Consider the following 21,221-nt stretch of genomic DNA (forward strand, 5'->3'; position numbering starts at 1 on the left):
GATAGATTAACTTTGCAGTGTCATCTGCTAATCTCCAAGGTCTTCTAGGGGCACGTCATCAGCAGTTGCTGCTTTTGAGGTATCAAGGTTTGTCCTGTGGAGTCTCAGATAGTTTCTTTACCTGTTCAATGAATCTGATTTTCCATTTTTCTAGGAGAGTGTATCTCAAAGTGATTGCTGAATCAGAATGTCTGGGAGTGTGACTTGGAATCTATTACTGAAGATTAGAGGAAAATGTAGCAAATTGTGATCTGAAGCATTTATGGATGGATTGATGGATTGATGGATAGGGATTCTGACTGAGTTAGGTAGTCTATAGTCTCAGACAGTTGTGGAAGCTCCATTAGGTCATGAGCAACCCAGACTCCTTCCAATTCTGTGCCCTGCCATTCTTAGGGTGTGGCTGCTGTCCTCATGGTCCAAAATGGTTGCCGTGGTTCCACATCTCACAGTGAGATAGAAGAAGACAGAAGAATGATGTCTCACCTCCCTTCTAAGGAGACTTCAGCAAAGCCTGCCTCTACCACTTTCTGTGACTGAGGGAAAGTTAATTCATACTCAGAGCCAATTAACCTCGTGTTTTTTTTTTTTGTTTGTTTTTTTTTTTTTTTTTTTTTTTTTTTTTTGAGACAAGGTCTTACTTTGTCGCCCAGGCTGTAGTGCAGTAGCACAATCTCGGCTCACTGCAGCCTCGACCTTTCGGGCTCAAGCAGGGCTCCTCCCTGCTCAGCCTCCCGAGTAGCTGGAACTACAGGCACATGCACCACACCCGGCTAATTTTTAAATTTTTTCGTAGAGATTGGGGGTCTTGTTATGTTGCCCAGGTTGGTCTGGAACTCCTGGGCTCAAGTGATCCTCCTGCCCTGGCCTCCCAAAGTGCTGGGATTACAGGAGTGAGCCACTGCACCCAACCAGTTACCTCATTTGTAAAACAGGCATGGTAACACTTAGTGCAGGAGCAAGAGGATCAGGGAGCACACATACATACAAAGTGCTTGGTGCTGATGCCCAGCCTGCAGCACCTGTTCTCTAAATCATAGCAGCAATTGCTGCTGCAGCACACTTCTCTTTCTCCTCTCTCCACCGCTCCATCTCTCCAGGGTCTCTACCTTGCCTGTCAGGCTCCACTTTCCTTTGCTCCTGCCTTTTGCATCTGTTCCTCTCTGCATTCTCCCCTCATCTCCTCTCTTCCGTGCACCTCATTTTCCTGCTCCCCTCCTGCCTCTGTCCCTCATCTTCTTTTCAGAGACTTAAAACCAGCCAGTGGCCACTGGCTTTTCAGTGTCTCCTCCTCCTCCTTGAACTACCTCTTCCTTCTAGTGCTTCTGTCCTTCCCTCCTCCTGACCTCCAGTGAACAATAATTATTTGTAACGTAATGACAAATTATCGTTACGTTACAAAGACCAGAGGTTAGAGGTGGTGATTGGCCTTGTAAACTGTAGGTCAGCGATGAGTAATTTAAGAAAACTAAATTTAATTGGTTTACTCATGAGTCAGTTAGGAATTCTATTTGGCAGCTAGAACAGAAATAGCAGTGGCTTAAACCAGTAGAAATTTTTTCTATTGTGAAAAGAAATCTAGGGGGACAGTCTAGGGCTTGTCTCTCCGCTCTGCCATCCTTAGTGCAGGGCGTCCAACCCCAAGGTTGTATCATGGTCTAAGATGGCTGCGGGAGCCCCAACCATCATGTCAGGTTCTAGGAAGAAAGCAGGAAGAAGAGAGGAAAGGCAAAAAGAACACATGCTCCATCTTAAGGAGCTTTCCTGCAAGTCCCACCAAATAGCTTCAGCTTCTCCTCCTTGCCTCCATTAGTTGCAAGGGAGGCTGAGACATCATTTAGCTGAGCACATTGCTACCTGAGGTAGAATTGGGATTCTGTCACCAAGAAAGAAGGGGAGAATGGATATTGTGTAAACAATTAGCAAGGTCTGCCGCCATTCATTCAACATTAATTTAGCACCTACAATCTACTAGTTATGAAGAACAGTCAAGGTGCCCCATTCCAGAGGGAAGACATAGATAAGTAAACAAGTACAGTACACAGGATGGGTGAGGAAGAGGGGGAGAGTGGAGAAAGGCATGAAGTGGGTATCTTACATACCCTCCAAGGGCGCATTCTAGAGTTCGTCATGCAGACATTCTTGCCTGTGGTTTGTTTCCTCTTCTGCTCTCTCCTTTTTGTCATTGTCGCCATTGTTGTTGTTGGGGTTTGTTTTTGCCCCTCCATTCTGACGTCAGCAGTAGCCCCTAGAACCTTAGGAAACAGAAACAGTTGGCCTAGTGGGAAGCTCTGGGATGGGAGCCATGTGTTTGAAGAGCCAAGTCCCAGGGCCATTAGGCAATTAGAGGCCTGTGGCAGGAGAGCATTCGTTCCTGGACATGCCGTGGCACTGCCAGGAGACTTTACTCCAGGAATGGGGTCGTTGTCAGGAGGCATGTTCTAACCAGGCACCTGGCATCACCTATACTGTGCTTGCCATAAAATGAAATTTTGGAGCAGTAAAATTCTCCAGGTCCCGTGAAATGGGTATAATTGTTTCACCCACATTAATTTAACCAGAGGTCTTGGTATGCTATAGTGTTAATTATGTGTAAAAATACTTCTACTTACTATAAAATGTATTGACAGTTAGACATTGATATTCCTTCTTAGAACTCAAAAATTCTAGGAATAACTTGGGAGACCCACATTATCTTTCATTTTGATCCCAAGAACATCTATTGCTGTTTCCTTTGGGAAGTTAGAGAGGCAATGGGAAGCCTGCTGCAGAGATTTTCTAAACAGGCATATCCCAGCCCCTAAGGAGTTTGAAAGTGTCAGAGAAGGCTAAAGGATTAAAAGATCGTTTGTTCTGGCACAGTGCAATCCTTATGAGGTTGTACTGTGACCCTGGGCAAGTTACCATCCTATCCTCAGTTTCTTCATCTGTCAAATTTTGATCCTGTGGACCCTCCCCAACAGGGCTGTGATGGAAATGAAGAGACACATGGGAAGCATTCAGTATGTGTTGTTGTTATTATCATCATTATTGTTATTTTTATTATTATTAGTGCTACTGGTAGTGCTAGCCCACTAGCCCACTGGGCAGCGACTGCACCCGTATCAGAGTGTGGAAAGCCTTGGATGCCACATTAAGGAGTTGGATTTTGTGGGCAAGGGTGTGACAGGTCATGGCTGGGCTTAGAAATGTCACTGACAGGAGTGGAGAGGCAGATCTAGGTGAGGAGTGGGCAGGGCTTGAACCTGGCCAGTCAAGGAAAGGGGAGAATGGATACCTGAGTGGTGAGGGAGGACCCACTGGTGCTGGAGTTCAGCCTGTGTGCCCAAGGGATGGTGTCCCATTGACTTGGGTGGGAAGCACTAGAGGTGGAGCAGTTGGGGTGGCAGGAGGGGAAAGAAGCATATGGTGATCAGCTCAGCAAACAAATGGGTAACTTGCGCACTCAGTGCTCGGTGGTGCCCAGGCTGGAGTGCAGTGGCGTGGTCCCGGCTCGCTACAACCTCCACCTCCCAGCCGCCTGCCTTGGCCTCCCAAAGTGCTGAGATTGCAGCCTCTGCCCGGCCGCCACCCCGTCTGGGAAGTGAGGAGCGTCTCTGCTTGGCCACCCATCGTCTGGGATGTGGGGAGCCCCTCTGCCTGGCTGCCCAGTCTGGGAGGTGAGGAGCGTCTCCGACCGGCCGCCATCCCATCTAGGAGGTGAGGAGCGCCTCTTTCCGGCCGCCATCACATCTAGGAAGGAGGAGCGTCTCTGCCCGGCCGCCCATCGTCTGAGATGTGGGGAGCGCCTCTGCCCCGCCGCCCCGTCTGGGATGTGAGGAGCACCTCTGCCCGGCCACGACCCCGTCTGGGAGGTGAGGAGCATCTCTGCCCCGCCGCCCCGTCTGAGAAGTGAGGAGACCCTCTGCCCGGCAACCACCCCGTCTGAGAAGTGAGGAGACCCTCCACCCGGCAGCTGCCCCGTCTGAGAAATGAGGAGCCTCTCCGCCCGGCAGCCACCCCGTCTGGGAAGTGAGGAGCGTCTCCGCCCGGCAGCCACCCCGTCCGGGAGGGAGGTGGGGGGGGTCAGCCCCCCCGCCAGGCCAGCAGCCCCATCCGGGAGGGAGGTGGGGGGGTCAGCCCCACGCCCCGCCAGCCGCCCCGTCAGGGAGGGAGGTGGGGGGGTCAGCCCCCCGCCAGGCCAGCCGCCCCGTCCGGGAGGGAGGTCGGGGCGTCAGCCTCCCGCCCGGCCAGCCGCCCCGTCCGGGAGGTGAGGGGCGCCTCTGCCTGGCCACCCCTACTGGGAAGTGAGGAGCCCCTCTGCCCGGCCAGCGGCCCCGTCCGGGAGGGAGGTGGGGGGGTCAGCCCCCCGCCCGGCCAGCCGCCCCGTCAGGGAGGGAGGTAGGTTCAGCCCCCCGCCAGGCCAGCCGCCCCGTCCGGGAGGGAGGTCGGGGCGTCAGCCTCCCGCCCGGCCAGCCGCCCCGTCTGGGAGGTGAGGGGCGCCTCTGCCTGGCTGCCCCTACTGGGAAGTGAGGAGCCCCTCTGCCAGGCCAGCCGCCCCGTCCGGGAGGGAGGTGGCGGGGTCAGCCCCCCGCCCGGCCAGCCGCCCCGTCCGGGAGGGAGGTGGGGGGGTCAGCCCCCCGCCCGGCCAGCCGCCCCGTCCGGGAGGTGAGGGGCGCCTCTGCCCGGCCGCCCCTACTGGGAAGTGAGGAGCCCCTCTGCCCGGCCAGCCGCCCCATCCGGGAGGGAGGTGGGGGGGTCAGGCCCCGCCCGGCCAGCCGCCCCGTCCGGGAGGGAGGTGGGGGGGTCAGCCCCCCGCCTGGCCAGCCGCCCCGTCTGGGAGGTGAGGGGCGCCTCTGCCCGGCCGCCCCTACTGGGAAGTGAGGAGCCCCTCTGCCCGGCCAGCCGCCCCATCCGGGAGGGAGGTGGGGGGGTCAGGCCCCGCCCGGCCAGCCGCCCCGTCCGGGAGGGAGGTGGGGGGGTCAGCCCCCCGCCTGGCCAGCCGCCCCGTCTGGGAGGTGAGGGGCGCCTCTGCCTGGCCGCCCCTACTGGGAAGTGAGGAGCCCCTCTGCCAGGCCAGCCGCCCCATCCGGGAGGGAGGTGGGGGGGTCAGCCCCCCGCCGGGCCAGCCGCCCCGTCCGGGAGGGAGGTGGGAGGGGTCAGCCCCCCACCCGGCCAGCCGCCCCGTCCGGGAGGTGACGGGCGCCTCTGCCCGGCCGCCCCTACTGGGAAGTGAGGAGCCCCTCTGCCCGGCCACCACCCCGTCTGGGAGGTGTGCCCAACAGCTCATTGAGAACGGGCCAGGATGACAATGGCGGCTTTGTGGAATAGAAAGGCGGGAAAGGTGGGGAAAAGATTGAGAAATCGGATGGTTGCCGTGTCTGTGTAGAAAGAAGTAGACATGGGAGACTTTTCATTTTGTTCTGTACTAAGAAAACTTCTGCCTTGGGATCCTGTTGATCTGTGACCTTACCCCCAACCCTGTGCTCTCTGAAACATGTGCTGTGTCCACTCAGGGTTAAACGGATTAAGGGCGGTGCAAGATGTGCTTTGTTAAACAGATGCTTGAAGGCAGCATGCTCGTTAAGAGTCATCACCACTCCCTAATCTCAAGTACCCAGGGACACAAACACTGCGGAAGGCCGCAGGGTCCTCTGCCTAGGAAAACCAGAGACCTTTGTTCACTTGTTTATCTGCTGACCTTCCCTCCACTATTGTCCTATGACCCTGCCAAATCCCCCTCTGTGAGAAACACCCAAGAATTATCAATAAAAAATAAATAAATTTAAAAAAAAAAAAAAAAAAAAACAAATGGGTAACTTGCTGCCTGCCAGGGACTCCTGTGGCCTGGCATGAAGATAATTGACTGTGTTTTGAACGCATTATAAGGCCCCTGCGAGGCCTCCGTGTGGTATTTAGACAGTCAGCAGGAGAGAGGCCCCGGACAGTGGTGTGGGATGCAGTCCCGGTGTGTGAAATTGCCAGTGGTTGGATTGTGCAGCGGATGGATTGAGCAGGGAAGCCAGCCAAGAACAGAATGGGGTGGGGAGGGCGTTGGGGGTAGGAAAGGAGGATCATCATTTCAAGGGCGGGTGAGGGAAGAACAAGCAGCAGAGTGCAAAGCCCCCAGAGGGAAGGGCGATCCTTATGAGGTTGGACTGTGACCCTGGGCAAGTTACCCTCCTGTCCTCGGGAGGAAGTGGTTGACAGAATCATTGCAGCAGTGAGATGGAAGCAGGACCAGGGCAGCAGCCAAGGGCCTCTTAGATGGCGGGGCGAGAGGAGGTCATCCAGGACCTCCAAGAGAACTGTTTCAAAATGGGAGGAGAAAGCAGTGTTCCTCTGGTGGTGGTTCTAATGCTTTGTATTTGTAGTTCTTAGTCGTTTTCAAGGCCCTTTGCATTCTTTGCATCGTGCTCTCTTACCACGATGCATAGTGAGACCCCACCTCTACAATTTTTTTTTTTTTTTTTTTTTTTCAGTGAGCCAGGTGTGGCAGTACACACCTGTAGTCCCAGCTACTTGGGAGGCTGAGGTGGAAGGATTGCTTGAGCCCAGGAGGTTGAGGCTGCAGTGAGCTGTGGTCATGCCACTGCATTCCAACCTGGGTGACAGAGCGAGACCCCATCTTAAAAACAAACAAACAAACAAATACTTGGTTCATTTGGTACTTGGCTTTTTGGATCTTGGGGAATATTGGAGATGACGGAATAACTTCAAGGAGACTAACTTCAAGGTCAAGACTCCTGCCAAGACTCCACCAGACATAAAATAGGAAAATGATGATAGAATCTACCTCACTGTTGGCCTGGCAGTGGGAGTTTGTTGATAACCCTGAAGATGAACTCCTCAAGGTGAAGAGCAAGGCTTCAGAATGGGCTGCTCTATAGATGTGAGAGACAGAGACAGACCTAGCCTTGCAAAAAGGTTGCTGTAGTCTTTCTCCTACCATTTCCAGCACAGGATGGTTTCTGGTCCCAGGAGGCCCTGTCTTGTGCTGTGTGGGACCCTTAGTGCTGTGAAGACTAGCAGCACCCTGGAGGTCTTTGTTCCTTCTGCCCTTTCCCTTAGATTGCATCTCCTAACCTTGGTTTATATATTTGTCAGGAGGTGGGGGAAACCTGCTTTCCCCCACCTCCTGACAAATATATAAACTGGAAATTGATCCAGTCCTGGATCAGTTTGGGTCACACAACAGGGTCGGCAGTGTTGGCCCACAGAGGGCCCTGGGCCCCTTATTTCCCCTTTGGCCCTAGGCTCTGAGCTCTCAGGTTTTGGCTACCAAGCAAAAGGTGGAGTTGCATCAGTTGTTGCTCTTTACCAGGCCCCCAGGGGTTGCTGTCGGTGAGCTCACAGGATGTTTTCTTCTCTCTGCTTTGACTTGTGCTGAATTTCTGACTGACCCCATGCAGCATCTGCGTGGCTTCTGGGGCCCGAGCCCAGGTTTCAGCAAGCTGCCCATGGTTTACCCTCAGGATGAACTCTAGGAAGCTGGGGAGCACTGTGGTGGTGGTATAAGTTCAGCCCCTCATTTTAGTTTATTTTTATGTTAAAATGTTTATTAATACAAAATAACACATAGATCAGAATGTTGTATGACAGAAAGGGACTGACTGGACTCAGGATCTCCCACCCCAGCCCCAGGGGTGAAGGTGAAGGTGATTGGTTTCCTGGGTATCGTTCCTTCCACGGTTTTTCCATGCACGCTCTCATGTGCGTGTGTTTTTATCCTCATCCTGCTCTTCACCGTGGCAGTGGGGAGCACACTAAATTGCTCTGACACCTAGTTGGTTTTTTTTTTGATTGAGTGTATCTTGGGAATCTTTCCATATCAGCATATACAGATACACTGCATTCTTTTTTTTTTTTTTTTTTTTTTTGAGATGGAGTCTTGTGCTGTCTCCCAGGCTAGAGTGGAATGGCACGATCTCTGCTCACTGCAACCTCCACCTCTCAGGCTCAAGCGATTCTCCTGCCTCAGCCTCCCAAGTAGCTGGGATTACAGGCACCCACCACCACGCCTGGCTCATTTTTGTATTTTGGGTAGAGATGGGGTTTCACCATGTTGGCCAGGCTGGTTTCAAACTCCTGACCTCAAATGATCTGCCCACCTCGGCCTCCCAAAGTGCTGAGATTACAGGTGCGAGCCACCACACCTGGCCATTCTTTTTTTTTTTTTTTTAAAGCTTTTTTGTTGTACATATGATGTATGTTAGGTGGACTGTGGCTTATAAAACCTCTTCATAGCTGTTTTCCAGTGCGATCCTTCTAGCCCTGTGAGGAAGACAGACCAGAAGAAATTTTTTGCAGCTTAGGATACTCTGCAAACAAGGAGGAAGTGAGAGGAGTTGGGGCTCATTTAATGCAGACTAAAACAGGATCTTTCCTTTGAGAGACTGAGACAGGATGAGGAGCAGGCTGTAGATGTGCACACATATCCACTCAGAGAGAACATGAGAGGCAGCATCTGCAGAGGAGCCTGGTGGGCAGCACGTGCCGCGGGGGCAGGAAGGGGAGAGCTTCCGGGAAGGGGATGGAACTTGAGCCAAACCTTTTTCTCAAAAAGAGGGGAGGCCGGGTGTAGTGGCTCACACCTGTACCCAGCACTTTGGGAGGCTGAGGTGTGCAGATCACTTGAGGTCAGGAGTTTGAGACCAGCCTGGGCAACATAGCAAAACCCCATGTCTATTAAAATTACAAAAAGTAGCCGGGCGTGGTGGCGCACACGTGTAATCCCAACTACTCAGGAGGCTGAGGTGGGACGATCACTTGAACCTGGGATGCGGAGGTTGCAGTGAGCCGAGATCGCGCCACTGCACTCCAGCCTGGGTGACAGAGTGAGACTCTGTCTCAAACAAAAGAGGGGAAGGTAGGAATGAGACAAAGGAAAAGGGGAGGCGGGCATTTCAGGCAGGAGAGCAGCATAGGCAGAAGGTGCAAACATGTGGCAGAGGGTCGGTGTCCATGGACACGCTTCCACCACCTGGTCTAATCATTGACTTATCAGACATCTAAATGCCTGCTGCGTGCCCAGCACTGTAGAGGGCCACAAGGCAGCAGGAACCTCTCAGTGCCTGCCCTCTGTGGGCTCTGACTCCAACCAGGAGAAACTGGACGCACAACAGCAGGCAAAACTAGCTGATGGTGATAGAGGTCAGAAGAGTGGTTTACAGCCAGGCACAGTGACTCACACCTGTAATCCCAGTACTTTGGGAGGCTGAGGTGGGAGGATAGCTTGAGCCTAGGAGGCTGAGGCTGCAGTGAGCTGTGATCAGGCCACCACTGCATTCCAGCTTGGCCTGGACAACAGAGCAAGACCCTGTCTCAAAAAAAGCGGAGTAGTTACTTATTGTGGAGATTAGCTGTTCAGGGGCACAAAGAACCTTGTAGGGTGCTGGAAATGTTTACTGTCTTGACCTGGGTGATGGGTTTTTTTGGTTTGTTTTTTGTTTGTTTATTTTGTTTTTTTGAGATGGAGTCTTGCTCTTGTGCCCCAGGCTGGAGTGCAATAGCACTATCTCGGCTCACTGCAACCTCCACCTCCTGGCTTCAGGCAATTCTCCTGCCTCAGCCTCTCGAGTAGCTGGGACTACAGGCGCCTGCCACCATGCCCGGCTAATTTTTGTATTTTTAGTAGAGACAGGGGTTTCACCATGTTGGCCAGGCTGATCTTGAACTCCTGACCCCAGGTGATCCGCCCGCCTCGGCCTTCCAAAGTGCTAGGATTACAGGCGTGAGCCACCGCGCCCAGCCTGGGTGATGGTTTTATGGTGGTATATAAATGTAGGAATTCATGGGGCTTATTATGTTTAAGATTAATGCAGATTGCATACTCTAACCATGAGTATGTTATACCCCAATTATAAATCAAGCAGGCAAATAAATAGCATATTCCCCAAAATAAAGAAGTAAAATGCAATAGCAAGAAAGTGTGCAAAGAGCTATGCCTGGGAAAATACAGGAACTGTATCATTTTGAAAGGGTGAGAGATGAGATTTCAGACCCTCACCCTCTCTCACTGTGTCATTTCTGAAGGGCCCTGGTGACTTTCTTTGCCCCTCTCCACTCTTACAGTCATTGGAACCAGAGGGCAGAACCCCGGGCCTCAAAATTAAGTCTATACACCTTAGAAACTAGGAATTCAAGGCTAGCCAGGTCCTGGCCCTTTATCTGTCCTTCAGAGAGTGGGGTGCCCCAGCCAAAGCGGACAGCTCGCCATTCCCAGATGTGCCCTGTGTTCTCGGCTGCGTTGCCTGACTCACCTTGGCCTTCCCTGGGAGTGCCTTTTCTAGTTTTCTGGCCCAGCTAGAAGAAAGGGCCATTACACCTACTCCAGAATCATCCCTGCTGCTCCCAAGTTGGAATATTTCTTCCTCCACAGTGGCCACCTCTTATGTGCCCTCCATCACACAGTTTGTATACTTACCTCTTCAAGGGCAGGCTGTGTTTTACTCCTTTTGTCATCTCTCCCCATAGGGGTCTAGGTCAGTGCTTTTGTACATGGTGCCTGAAACAGTCCCATAAATGATATTTTATTTGAGTGGGGCTCTCTGGCTGGAGCTACTAGGTGGAATGTTGCCATGTGGGAGCAGGGGTCATAACGAAGGCTGGCCATCAAGATGCTGGTACTTCCAAATTCCCAACAGTTATTAACTTTCAGGATTGAGGAACAAGTAATAGAAATTCCCTGGAATGCCCAAAATCATAACTTTTTCTATATCTTTCCTAACACTTTATGAGTTTTTAAATAAGGAGTGGTCATAATAATAAATGGAATTATTTTTTCTGTGATAAAATTTCAGAGGTGTTTCTGTAAAAAAAAAAGAAAGAAAAGAAAAAGAGAAAAAAAGATGTAACATTAAATGCGTGGTTTGGTGGTTTGGTTGGGCACAGTGGCTCACACCTGTAATCCCAGCACTTTGAGAGGCCAAGGCAGGAGGATGGCTTGAGCTCAGGAGTTTGAGACCAGCCTGTTAACAGAGAAAGATTTTGTCTCTATTAAAAATAAAAAAAATTAGCCAGCATGGTGGCATGTGCCTGTAGTCCCAGTTACTCAGGAGGCTGAGGCAGGAGGATCACTGGAGCCCAGGAGTTTGTGGCTGCAGTGAGCTATGATAGCACCACTCCGGGTGGTGACAGTCTTGGTGACAGAGTGAGACCCCATCTAAAAAATTAAAATAATAAAAATAAAATAAATGCATAGTTTATTGTTATTATGGACAAATATATTGTGATATATGATTGTATATATTTCATTAGCATGTAAAAATGATCTCTATCTGATATAGACATCTGATAATAGAAAATGCGGAAGAGAGCATTAACACAAAATGAATACCAAATAAAAATCACTTAATGATTTAAGAGTAATACTACACATATTTAATATTTAAAAGTTACTCTTAAAGGTTAAAACTAGAGAAAAGTTAAAAGAATAAAACAATGAATTTCTGTATTTCCTTCACCAAGATTCACCAGTTGCTAACAGTTTGGCGCATTTGCTTGATGTGTCATAGATTGTCCACATTCCATATCTGTTGGATTGTTTCCTTGTGATTAGATTCGGGTTTACGTTGTTGGTGGGAACCCACATAGATGAGGTGTGCTTCCTGTTGCTTACATCAGGAGGCACAGTGGTGCCAGTTGGCCCTAGTAAAAGTGATGCTAACTTGATTCACCTAGTTAAGTTGGCATCTGTGAAGGCTACTTTTGTATTAAGGCAGTGAACTTCGAAAGGAACTTTTCCCTGACTTTGGGAATTGCTGACAGCCATTTAGGAAAAGAGACGACTGTTTTCTCTGTCACGTGTAGCTGCAGTTAAGAAACATCCTAGTATAGTCAGACAAGCTCTGGAAGCCAGTATGTCAGGACCTGGGACCAAGCTCTACAGCCATCTCTCCCTGTGACCATAGCCAAGTCATTTCTGAGCTATGTGAGACTGTACGTATAAGGAAATAGACACTCAGAGAAGTGAAGCAGTTTGCCCAAAGCTACTCAGCTAGTGAGTGACAGAGCTAGGATTCAAACCCATTTTTGTCTGGGGACAAAGCCCTGCCCTTGTCCTTATGCCAAGCTGCCTCCTTTGTGAGGCAGCTGGTTGTTATGATTGTGGCACTGACCACTCAGATGTTGTGCTCGGAACCAAGCAGAAGAGCACCAAGCCTTATAGGCCCTGACAGGTGAGAGGGAAGAGAGAGGTGCCTTCCTTCATCCATCTGGACTGCCCTTGGAATTCCTGGGCCAATTTGGGGAACCCTGGCACCAACCCTAACATGGGCCAGTGCCAGCACCAGGTATATGCAGCCTGTACTTCCCAGTCTGGGCAGGCAAAGGCTGGAACCGCACCAGCAGCTCTCCTCTGTAACGCAGCACGGAAGTATTTATTTCAAGGGTGGCTCAGAGAAGTGAAGCAGTTTGCCCAAAGCAAACTGGTTCCTCCCCTGCATGTGGCAGGCTGTCCTGCAAGCTGGGAGGCGGGCTGTTGGACGCTCCCCAGCCACCCTTGAAATAAATGCTTCCATGCTGTGTTGCAGAGGTGAGTTGCTGGCACCGTTCCAGCCTCCGCCTGCCCAGACTGGGAAGTACAGGCTGCACATACCTGGCACTGGCCCACTTTAGGGTTGATGCATGGGATCCCCAGATTGGCCCAGGAATTCCAAGGCCAGTCCAGATGGATGAAGGAAGGTATTGCCTCAGCCTGCCTGGGTTCCTCGGGGGAGAGAGGGAGACAGGAAGCATTAATGGGGGAAAGGTGTGCCAAGCCTTGCCAAGCAGGTCATTGTGGGTGGGGAGACACCGCCTACGTGCTCGGGACGCCCCAGGATTTGGGTGGAGGTTCTTGAGGAGGCAGCGAGAAAGGAGAGCTGTGACAGCGACTCTGGAGCACTCTAGAATGGCTCTTAGTGACCTTCTGCTCTGGTGACCCACCAGCAGCCCACCAACCTGTCATCTTCCAGTTAGCAGCCATCCCCAGGGCCAGTAGCACCTGAGCACTTGGTAAGTAGAAAGACCCAGTGTCTGCTCCTCATGTTACCCTGGTGTCCTTCCCCAGAGCAGTTGTTTTGGGAAAAACTGGCTCCGGCTGAAGCAGGAAATGGTGCTCCTTGTCAAGGTCATGTTGTCCTGTTGCTATAGAACTGAGAGACCCTGAGGATCAGCCCTCTGAGGTTCCTGTTACCTCTCTTTACACTATTCATCCTCATAGGCCTCCAGGAAGGGGGCCAAATTCAGGGCCAGGACCAGGGCCAGTGGCTTGGTGAGGCATAGGCTTTGCTGTATGGGCCCTGTGGGGAGCTCTGGGGAGTTCTTATTCCCCTGGCTCATGGCCACCATCATGGAGAGACCCCCAGGGCTCTGGCAGCCAAGTGGGCAGGAGCGGAGGGAGGGGGCATCTTGGGAGGGAGAGCCCCGAAAGGAAACAGGGTTTATAGACAGACTCCCGGTCATCACTGCTTGTAATGCTTGCTCAGTGAACAGTGGCAGTGCTTTTCCTGACTCTTTCAAGAGAGTCCCTTCTCTCTCCTGCTAGGTGGGCTGAGATCCAGACTGGTTAGAAGCCTAACATGACCTGGCGTGTGAGACCTTGCACTCTCTGAATGTATTCCCCAAGTGTCATCAATAAGTCACTCCGGTTCTGGCATTTCCCTATCTTATCCTGCATACCCCTCCTCCTGGCTCTGAGTCCTGAGGAGTGAGATTGCAGTTTTTGACCCATGTTCTTACTGAGAAGTGGGCTGTCATGCAGGTATAATATAAAATCCAGAAGCTGCTGTCAGAATTATGTGAGAATTGGGAGGTGACAGCATGGGCCAATTTTCTGAATCTCTAGGGTGCTTTGATGCTTAAGAAGTCTTTCTGGGCTCCCTGAGATTTGAAACCTCTTGTTTTATCTGTCCTTTCACTCTGGTTCTTCCTTTCCTTTCTTGGGGACTTCATGCTTCTCAAATATTTGTTAAGTGGGTGCTTATATGGGACCTTAGAAAGCAACCAGCTAGGCATGCACTTGGAAAGGGACAGGAGGACTGAGAACAAGACTAAACATTTCTGTGAGATTGAGCAGCAGGAGAGCTTTGCTTCTTTACTGGTGTCAGTATGTGCCTGCAGCTCCTGGGCTGCCTTTACTCGAGTGAGATCCATTTACAAGACTCCTGACTCTTCTACTCCACTTTATTACAAAAGATGTTGATGCTCGTTTTAAAAACAATTTAAACTACAAACATGAATAAAGGTATTTATCTCCCCACCAGTCCCCCTCATTCTCCCTTCCCTCCTGTTCTTAGACTGGTTTCCCCTCCCAGTAGTTTAGGTTGTGGGGCAAGTGTGTGTAGCTCTGCATCAGTGTCTTAAACAAAATGAGTGTGTCGCGGATGCGCAGCTCGGCCACTTCCTGTTTTCTTCGGCTGTATGTCACGGCCATCCTGCCATGGCACCATGTCTGTGCCACCTGCTGCTCTTGGGCATCTGCAGAGAATTCCATGACATGGATCTTGAGGTAGTCTTCTTCAGCTTTTTCTACTTCATCTTATTTTCTACAATCATTTATATCTGCTTGTAAAACCTTTTTTTAAAAAACTTGCTTACTAGACACAGCACATGTTCATTTTAGAAAATGTAGAAAAATCAGATAAGCAGCCGGGCATGATGACTCATGCCTGTAATCTCAGCACTTTGGGAGGCCAAGGCAGGCAGATCACCTGAGGTCAGGAGTTCGAGACCAGCCTGGCCAACATGGTGAAACCCCATCTCTACTAAAAATACAAAAATTATCTGGGTGTGGTGGTGCGTACCTGTAGTCTCAGTTACCTGGGAGGCTGAGGTGGGAGAATCACTTGAACCCAGGAGGTGGAGGTTCCAGTGAGCCGAGATCATGCCACTGTACTCCAACCTACGTGACAGAGTGAGACCCTGTCTCCCCGCCCCCCCCACCAAAAAAAAAAAAAATCAGATAAGCAATAAAAAAAGTAGAAATGACCCCTAAGAGGTAACATTTTGGTGTGTATAATACAAATGTCTTTTACATTTGCTCCCTCATCTCAGCATTGCCACTGCCATTAAAGAAGGCACATGGTCATTAGTCCCATCTCACAGATAGAAAGCCTGAGCCACAGAGAGGGTAGCAGGTTGCCCAGAGGTACACAGCATAGTAAAGACAGAGCTGGGGGTGTACCTGTCATATAACTCAGCACTAATGCTCTCTCCACTGTAGCCCACTTGCTGTCTTCGCACCTTGGGACAGAGAGGGGGGTGCCAGGCATTGGATTTCAGATGCATTGAACTGCCTTATCCGAAGGTTAATAGACAGATGACTGCTTGAGGAAAGCCCCTGATTGACTTAGGAGAAGAGGTAGAAGACACGCTCTTCAGGTTTACAGACAATATGAGACAAGGGATTGTTTGCGCTTTAGAGAACAGAATCGGGCTTAGAAAACCCTCAAAGAGCTCTAATGACAGGTCAGGAGCAACAGGATAAACTTTGGAAGGGGTGGATGTAAAGGGGCCCCCTTCTATTTCCGTAAGCACAGGAAGGCCTGACTTGATGTTCAGGCAGTGATGACTGGTCTGCCTGGGAGTCATAGTGGACTGTAAGCAGGGGGACATGTCATTTCAACACTTTAACTTCATCTTACTTCCTGGGAGTGTTAGGAGCCACACATCAAGAGGACGTGATGAACTAAGGAAGAGGGTTTGGGAACCTGTCAAATGACAAATGCTGCAGTGACAGAGGTTTCACCTAGAGAAGATGGGTTTGGGGAGGAAAAGGTGCAGGCCAAGACTTGGTGACCAGGGCCAGGCAGGACAGGACCAGGAATGGCAGTTAGTTGAAGGGAGAGTCTAATTGGTCAGGATACAGAACACCTTTTTAGCATTAGAGTTCAGGAATAGTAGCGAGAGGCAGTACAGTAGAGTGGTTAAGAGCTCCTGCTCTGATGGCTTACTGGCTCCCGGCTCCCAGAGTCTTGGAAGTTACCTCACTCTTCCATGTTCCAATTTTCTCATCTGTAAATGGGGATAATGGGTACCTGCCTTATAGTCCACTTGTAAAACCTAAGGGAGTTACTCCATGAAAGCAGCTTAGAATAATGCCTGGCACACAGAGGTGCTGTGCACTGTTTGATTCACACGGAAGCTGGGTAGGCTCCATGGAAGAAGAGTTGTAGAAGGTCTTCTGCATGCATTTGGTATGACCTGCTTACCCAGCCTTTTCCATTCCCTGCCTCCCTGTCTCCTTCTTTCTTTCTCCATCTTCCTCTCCTGGGTCTAGGATCCTACATTTCCCCTACCTAGGACACCCTACCCCTCAATCTTTATTTTCTTCTTTGAAACTCTTAAGTATTTTATTTCTTCTTCTTCTTCTTTTTTTTTTTAGACAGAGTCTCGCTCTGTCGCCCAGGCTGGAGTGCAGTGGCACGATCTTGGCTTACTGCAAGCTCCACCTCCCAGGTTCACGCCATTCTCCTGCCTCAGCCTCCCGAGTAGCTGGGACTATAGGCGCCCGCCACCACGCCTGGCCAATTTTTTGTATTTTTAGTAGAGACAGGGTGTCACCGTGTTAGCCAGGATGGTCTCGATCTCCTGACCTCGTGATCCACACACCTCGGCCTCCCAAAGTGCTGGGATTACAGGCGTGAGCCACCGCGCCTAGCCCTATTTCTTCTTCTTTAAATTGTTTTTATTAAAAAAAAAAAAAAAGGCCAGGCGTGGTGGCTCATGCCTATAATCCCAGCACTTTGGGAGGCCGAGGCGGGCAGATCATGAGGTCAGGAGACAGAGACCATCCTGGTTAACGTGGTGAAATCCCGTCTTTACTAAAAATACAAAAAATTAGCTGGGCGTGGTAGCATGCGCCTGTAGTCCCAGCTACTCAGGAGACTGAGGCAGGAGAATCGCTTTAACCCAGGAGGCAGAGGTTGCAGTGAGCCGAGATTGCACCACTGCACTCCAACCTGGGCAACAGAGTGAGACTCTGTCTCAATAAAGAAAAAAATGAGACAGGGTCTTTCTGTGTTGCCCAGGGTGGTCTGGAACTCCTGGGCTCAAGCAATCCTCCCATCTCAACCTCCCTGCCCAGCTGCTGTGCCCAGCAGTATTTTCTATAATTAGCATAGTGTACTTTTCAGATTATCTTGAAGACCCAGCTCTCCTTGACCTTGAACCTTCCCTGAGGCCTCCAGAGGCAATTTCCTCCTCAGGACTCAGCTGCCCTTCACTCTTCCCTCGTGCACAGCCTGTCCTGTGAGTAGGTGCAGGTACTGACTGGTCTTATCTTTCGCCCTGAAAATATAAACGTTTTAAAGGCACCTGAGGATTTGTCAGCACCTCCCCACCCCCACCCTGGGTCTGACCTAGGACTCTGAGTCAGGGAGGCCTCCCTCCACTGAGTAATAGTAGCCTTGGGATCTGCTCAGCAAGAGGATTGTATAGTTTAAGGGAGGAAGAAGCACCAGTGCTGCCTCCCCATGGGAAAAATGAAGCCCCCCCTCCCGCAACCACCACCACCACAGAACCACCAACCCCAACGTCACTTGGCAGATTAGCAAAAGAACTAGCCAGACGCTGCTAGGCCCCTCAGGCTTCTAGATTCGCTCTCCACCACATTTCTACCAATTTATGCTCATCTTGATAAGCTCCTCCTTTGAAGGGTCTGGAATGGTCTGGAGTGGTCTGGAAAGCAGGGTCAGATACCCCTGGAAAACTGAAGCCCGTGGAGCAGTGATCTCTACAGGACTGCTTCAAGGTGCGTGGTGAACAGACGTCTTTTTGCAATTATGCCAGTTGCTCCTCTGATACTTGAGGGTTATGTGAATCTAACAACAGACAAAAATCTCTGCCTCCTGGGGCTTATATTCTTTGGGAAGAGACAAGCACTAAACAAATAAGGAAATATATATACACTCTGCCAGATAGCCATAAGACGGATGGAGAAAGTTGAAGCAGGGAAGGGAGATGGAAGTACCTGAGGGTGGACTACGCATATTTGAAATAGGGAAGCCAGGGAAGACCTCACTGAGATGGCCACATTTGAGAAAGGACCTGAAGAAGGTGAGGCAGTGAGCTGTGGAGGTGGGTAACTGGGGAGGGGGAAGAACTTTAGCTAGAGAGAAAAGCCGCTGCAAAGGCCCACTGAAGGCAGGATATGCCTGCTGTGTCGAGACCAGCAGGAGGCCGTGTGCCTGGTACTTAATATACCAGAAGGAGTGGAGCAGGCAGGGGTACCAGTTCCAGAAGGACTTGCTGGCAGGTATTAAGATGGGCTTTTTCTCTGTGATAGGAAGCTCCAGGAAGGATTTGATCACAGGAGGGACAGAATCTGAATTGTATTTTAGAAGGATCACTTTGACTGCTGTACAGAGAGTGGGTGGTGAGGTGGGAGGCAGAAGCCAGAAAGCCAGTTAGGAGGCTGTTAAGTAATCCAGGCAGGAGATGGTGTTGGCTGGGACCAGGGTCATAGCAGTAGAGGTGGTGAGAAGTAATTAGATTCCGTATATTTATTAAAGGCAAAGCCAGCAAGATTCCTTGACTCTAACTTAAAGGTTGGAGTTGTCATTTACTGAGATGAGAGAGACCATGGGGGGAAGGTAAAGGGCTCGGTTTTGGATGTGTTAGGCTTGTGCTGCCATTGGACATCCGTGTGGAGGTGTCAGAGAAGCTGGCCTGGAGAAATAAATTGGGGAATCATCAGCATACTGAAGGCATTGGAAGGCACAAGCTGGCATAAGATCAGAAAGAGATGGAGCGTAGATGGAGAATGAAAGAGACCTTTAGAGATTAGGAAGAAAATTACTGACTGAGACCAACAAAGTAGATTGATACGGAGCAGCCAGTGATATCAGAGCAAAACCTGGGAGGAAGCCAAATGAAGAGAAGGCGTAGAGGAGGAGGGATCGAGCAGTCATATCACTATCACATGCTATCGTGGGTCAAGTAAAATAAAGATCATAAGTGTTACCGAAAGTTTCAAAGTACAGTGACATTGGCCAGGCGCGGTGGCTTATGTCTGTAATCCCAGCACTTTGGGAGGCCAAGGTGGGTGGATCACTTGAGGTTATGAGTTCAAGATCAGCCTGGCCCACATGGTGAAACCCTGACTCTACCAAAAAATATAAAAATTAGCCGGGCGTGGTGACGCATGTCTGTAGTCCCAGCTATGGGAGTCTGAGGTGGGAGAATTGCTTGAATCCAGGAGGCAGAAGTTGCAGTGAGCTGAGATCGAGCCATTGCACTCCAGCCTGGGCAACAGTGAGACCCTGTCCCCCAAAAAAAAGGCCGGGCGTAGTGGCTCATGCCTGTAATCCCAGCACTTTGGGAGGCCGAGGTAGGCGGATAACTTGAGGTGGGTTCAAGACTAGCCTGGCCAACGTGGTGAAACTCCATCTCTACTAAAAATACAAAAATTAGCTGGGTGTGGTGGCAGGTGCCTGTAATCCCAGCTACTCTGGAGGCTGAGACAGGAGAATCACTTGAACCGGGGAGGCAGAGTTTGCACTGAGCTGAGATCGTGCCACTATACTCCAGCCTGGACGACAAAGTGAGACTCTGTCTCAAAAAAAAAAAAAAAAAAAACAAAGGCTGGGTGCAGTGGCTCATGCCTGTAATTCCAACACTTTGAGATGCCAAGGCGGGAGGATCACTTGTGATCCGGGAGGAGTTCAGTTCAAGACCAGCCTGGCCAACATGGTGAAAACCCATCTCTACTAAAAATACAAAAATTAGTTGGGTGTGGTGGCATGAATCTGTAGTCCCAGCTACTCTGGAGGCTGAAGTAGGAGGATCACTTGAGCCTAGGAGGTGGTTCAGTGAACTGAGGTCACACCTGCACCCCAGCCTAGTGACAGAGCAAGACTCTGTCTCAAAAAAATCACCTACCACCCTCTTCATACAGGGGAACTTTCTTCTATTCTTTTTCTAGTCATTTTCATGAGAATCATGATCTTTATGTAAATTCGTATTGTATTTTTCACTTATGTTATTAAATATTCTATGAAAACATGAGTTTAATGACTAGGTAATACTCAGTTGTCTGGGTGTGCCCTAATATATTTAACCATTCCTCTATTATTGGGCATTGGGCCATTTCTGATTTTTTGTTATTATAAATAACATTGCAGTGAACAGCTCAGTGTTTTCCTATAAGGGGAAGTATAGGGTCAAAGAACGTGAACGCTTTTAGGTGAGACTTGAACTTGAGATCCCTGGGTTCTCCTGGACAGACCGACCAATCACAGCTTAACTGTGGGATTTTTCCATGTCTCCTCTCTCCCTGGGAAGGTTGAGAAGTCTCTCTGCCCTGCAGATCCCTATTCCTGCCTCCCCGCTGCAATTGCACGTCCCATTTCTCCTGGGCCAGTCAGAGTTTCATTGCCTCTCATGGGGCCTGCTGGCCACCCACTCAGTGGCTGCCCTTCTCCTTACCACCAGCCTTCGTCCCCTCACCTAGAGCATTCACAGGCGAGCAAGAGCCAGTCAGAGCTTCCCTCAGAGTAGGGGGTGTAGTGATAAATGAAATAGCCCTGCCTTCACTCATCTCACTGGGTCGATTAAGTGATGTGTGATGTACCTGAAAGCACTTCAGGAACTTAAGAGTCTCATGCTCTACCAACTGAGCTAGCCAGGTGCCCTTAAAGGGCTGTCCTAGTCTTAATTGTTTGTAAAGAAATAGGTAGCTGGGCATGGTGGCTCACACCTGTAATCTCAGCACTTTGGGAGGCTGAGGCGGGTGGATAACCTGAGCCCAGGAGTTCGAGACCAGCCTGGGCAACATGGCAAAACCCCGTCTCTACAAAAAATACAAAAATTTGCCAGGCGTGGTGGTGCACACCTGTGGTCCCAGCTACTCAGGAGGCTGAAGTGGGAGAATCACCTGATCCTAGGAAATCGAGGCTGCAGTGAGCTGTGATTGTGCCACTGCACTCTAGCCTGGGTGACAGGGAGATCTTGTCTTAAAAAAAAAAAAAGAAAAGAAAAAGGTATAAGTGGTGGTGTCCACATTGTAACCACAGAGCCCCTAAAGCAGGGCTGTTGACCTATGGTTGGCATCCTGGTCACAAGAGCTCTGTGTCAGATGTGTGAGGGGCTTGGGTGTAGTTGTCAAGCCTGGGAATGTGGCTGTTAGTATCGATTGGCCTCATGCCAAGCAGTGCCAAGCGCCACGTCTGCTCCCCAGATACCTGTGTTTGTATGTGTGTGTCATAGTCGGGAATCACTGAGACCAGGACCTCTGGGAGGCTGAACCCTGGGAGGGCAGA

At 50.5% G+C, this 21,221-nt stretch overlaps 1 protein-coding gene across 35 annotated transcripts in view, besides 4 other annotated features; it reads left to right on the forward strand.

Annotated features, from left to right (window-relative positions):
- The window catches only part of PPARD (peroxisome proliferator activated receptor delta), an 85,621-nt gene that overhangs the window by 37,323 nt on the left and 27,077 nt on the right, over nucleotides 1-21,221 (forward strand). For 6 of the 35 annotated variants that reach the window (XM_047418919.1, XM_047418922.1, XM_047418929.1 and 3 more), the window contains 2 exons: nucleotides 17,097-17,225; nucleotides 17,618-17,713. The exons of 20 other annotated variants lie outside the window; for them this stretch is intronic. The gene's annotated coding sequence lies outside the window, so the exon portion shown is untranslated. Of the gene's footprint in view, nucleotides 1-627; nucleotides 4,012-12,590; nucleotides 12,664-12,809; nucleotides 12,976-17,096; nucleotides 17,226-17,617; nucleotides 17,714-21,221 lie in introns of those variants that run through there. 9 more of the 35 variants (XM_047418930.1, NM_001171818.2, XM_047418933.1 and 6 more) reach the window with 5 other exon arrangements.
- Nucleotides 3,409-4,011: an enhancer, noted in NCBI's record as "H3K27ac-H3K4me1 hESC enhancer chr6:35351066-35351668 (GRCh37/hg19 assembly coordinates)". NCBI's record gives its function as "activates a minimal SCP1, AML or CMV promoter by ChIP-STARR-seq in naive H9 embryonic stem cells {active_cell/tissue: H9 hESC(naive)}" and the evidence as "EXISTENCE:reporter gene assay evidence [ECO:0000049][PMID:30033119]".
- Nucleotides 12,019-12,587: an enhancer, noted in NCBI's record as "H3K27ac-H3K4me1 hESC enhancer chr6:35359676-35360244 (GRCh37/hg19 assembly coordinates)". NCBI's record gives its function as "activates a minimal SCP1, AML or CMV promoter by ChIP-STARR-seq in naive H9 embryonic stem cells {active_cell/tissue: H9 hESC(naive)}" and the evidence as "EXISTENCE:reporter gene assay evidence [ECO:0000049][PMID:30033119]".
- Nucleotides 14,443-14,492: an enhancer, noted in NCBI's record as "active region_24403". NCBI's record gives its function as "activates an Ori minimal core promoter by ATAC-STARR-seq in GM12878 lymphoblastoid cells {active_cell/tissue: GM12878}" and the evidence as "EXISTENCE:reporter gene assay evidence [ECO:0000049][PMID:35858748]".
- Nucleotides 14,513-14,562: an enhancer, noted in NCBI's record as "active region_24404". NCBI's record gives its function as "activates an Ori minimal core promoter by ATAC-STARR-seq in GM12878 lymphoblastoid cells {active_cell/tissue: GM12878}" and the evidence as "EXISTENCE:reporter gene assay evidence [ECO:0000049][PMID:35858748]".

The sequence above is a fragment of the Homo sapiens genome, chromosome 6 (genome assembly GCF_000001405.40).
Source record: "Homo sapiens chromosome 6, GRCh38.p14 Primary Assembly".
NCBI lineage: Eukaryota > Metazoa > Chordata > Mammalia > Primates > Hominidae > Homo > Homo sapiens.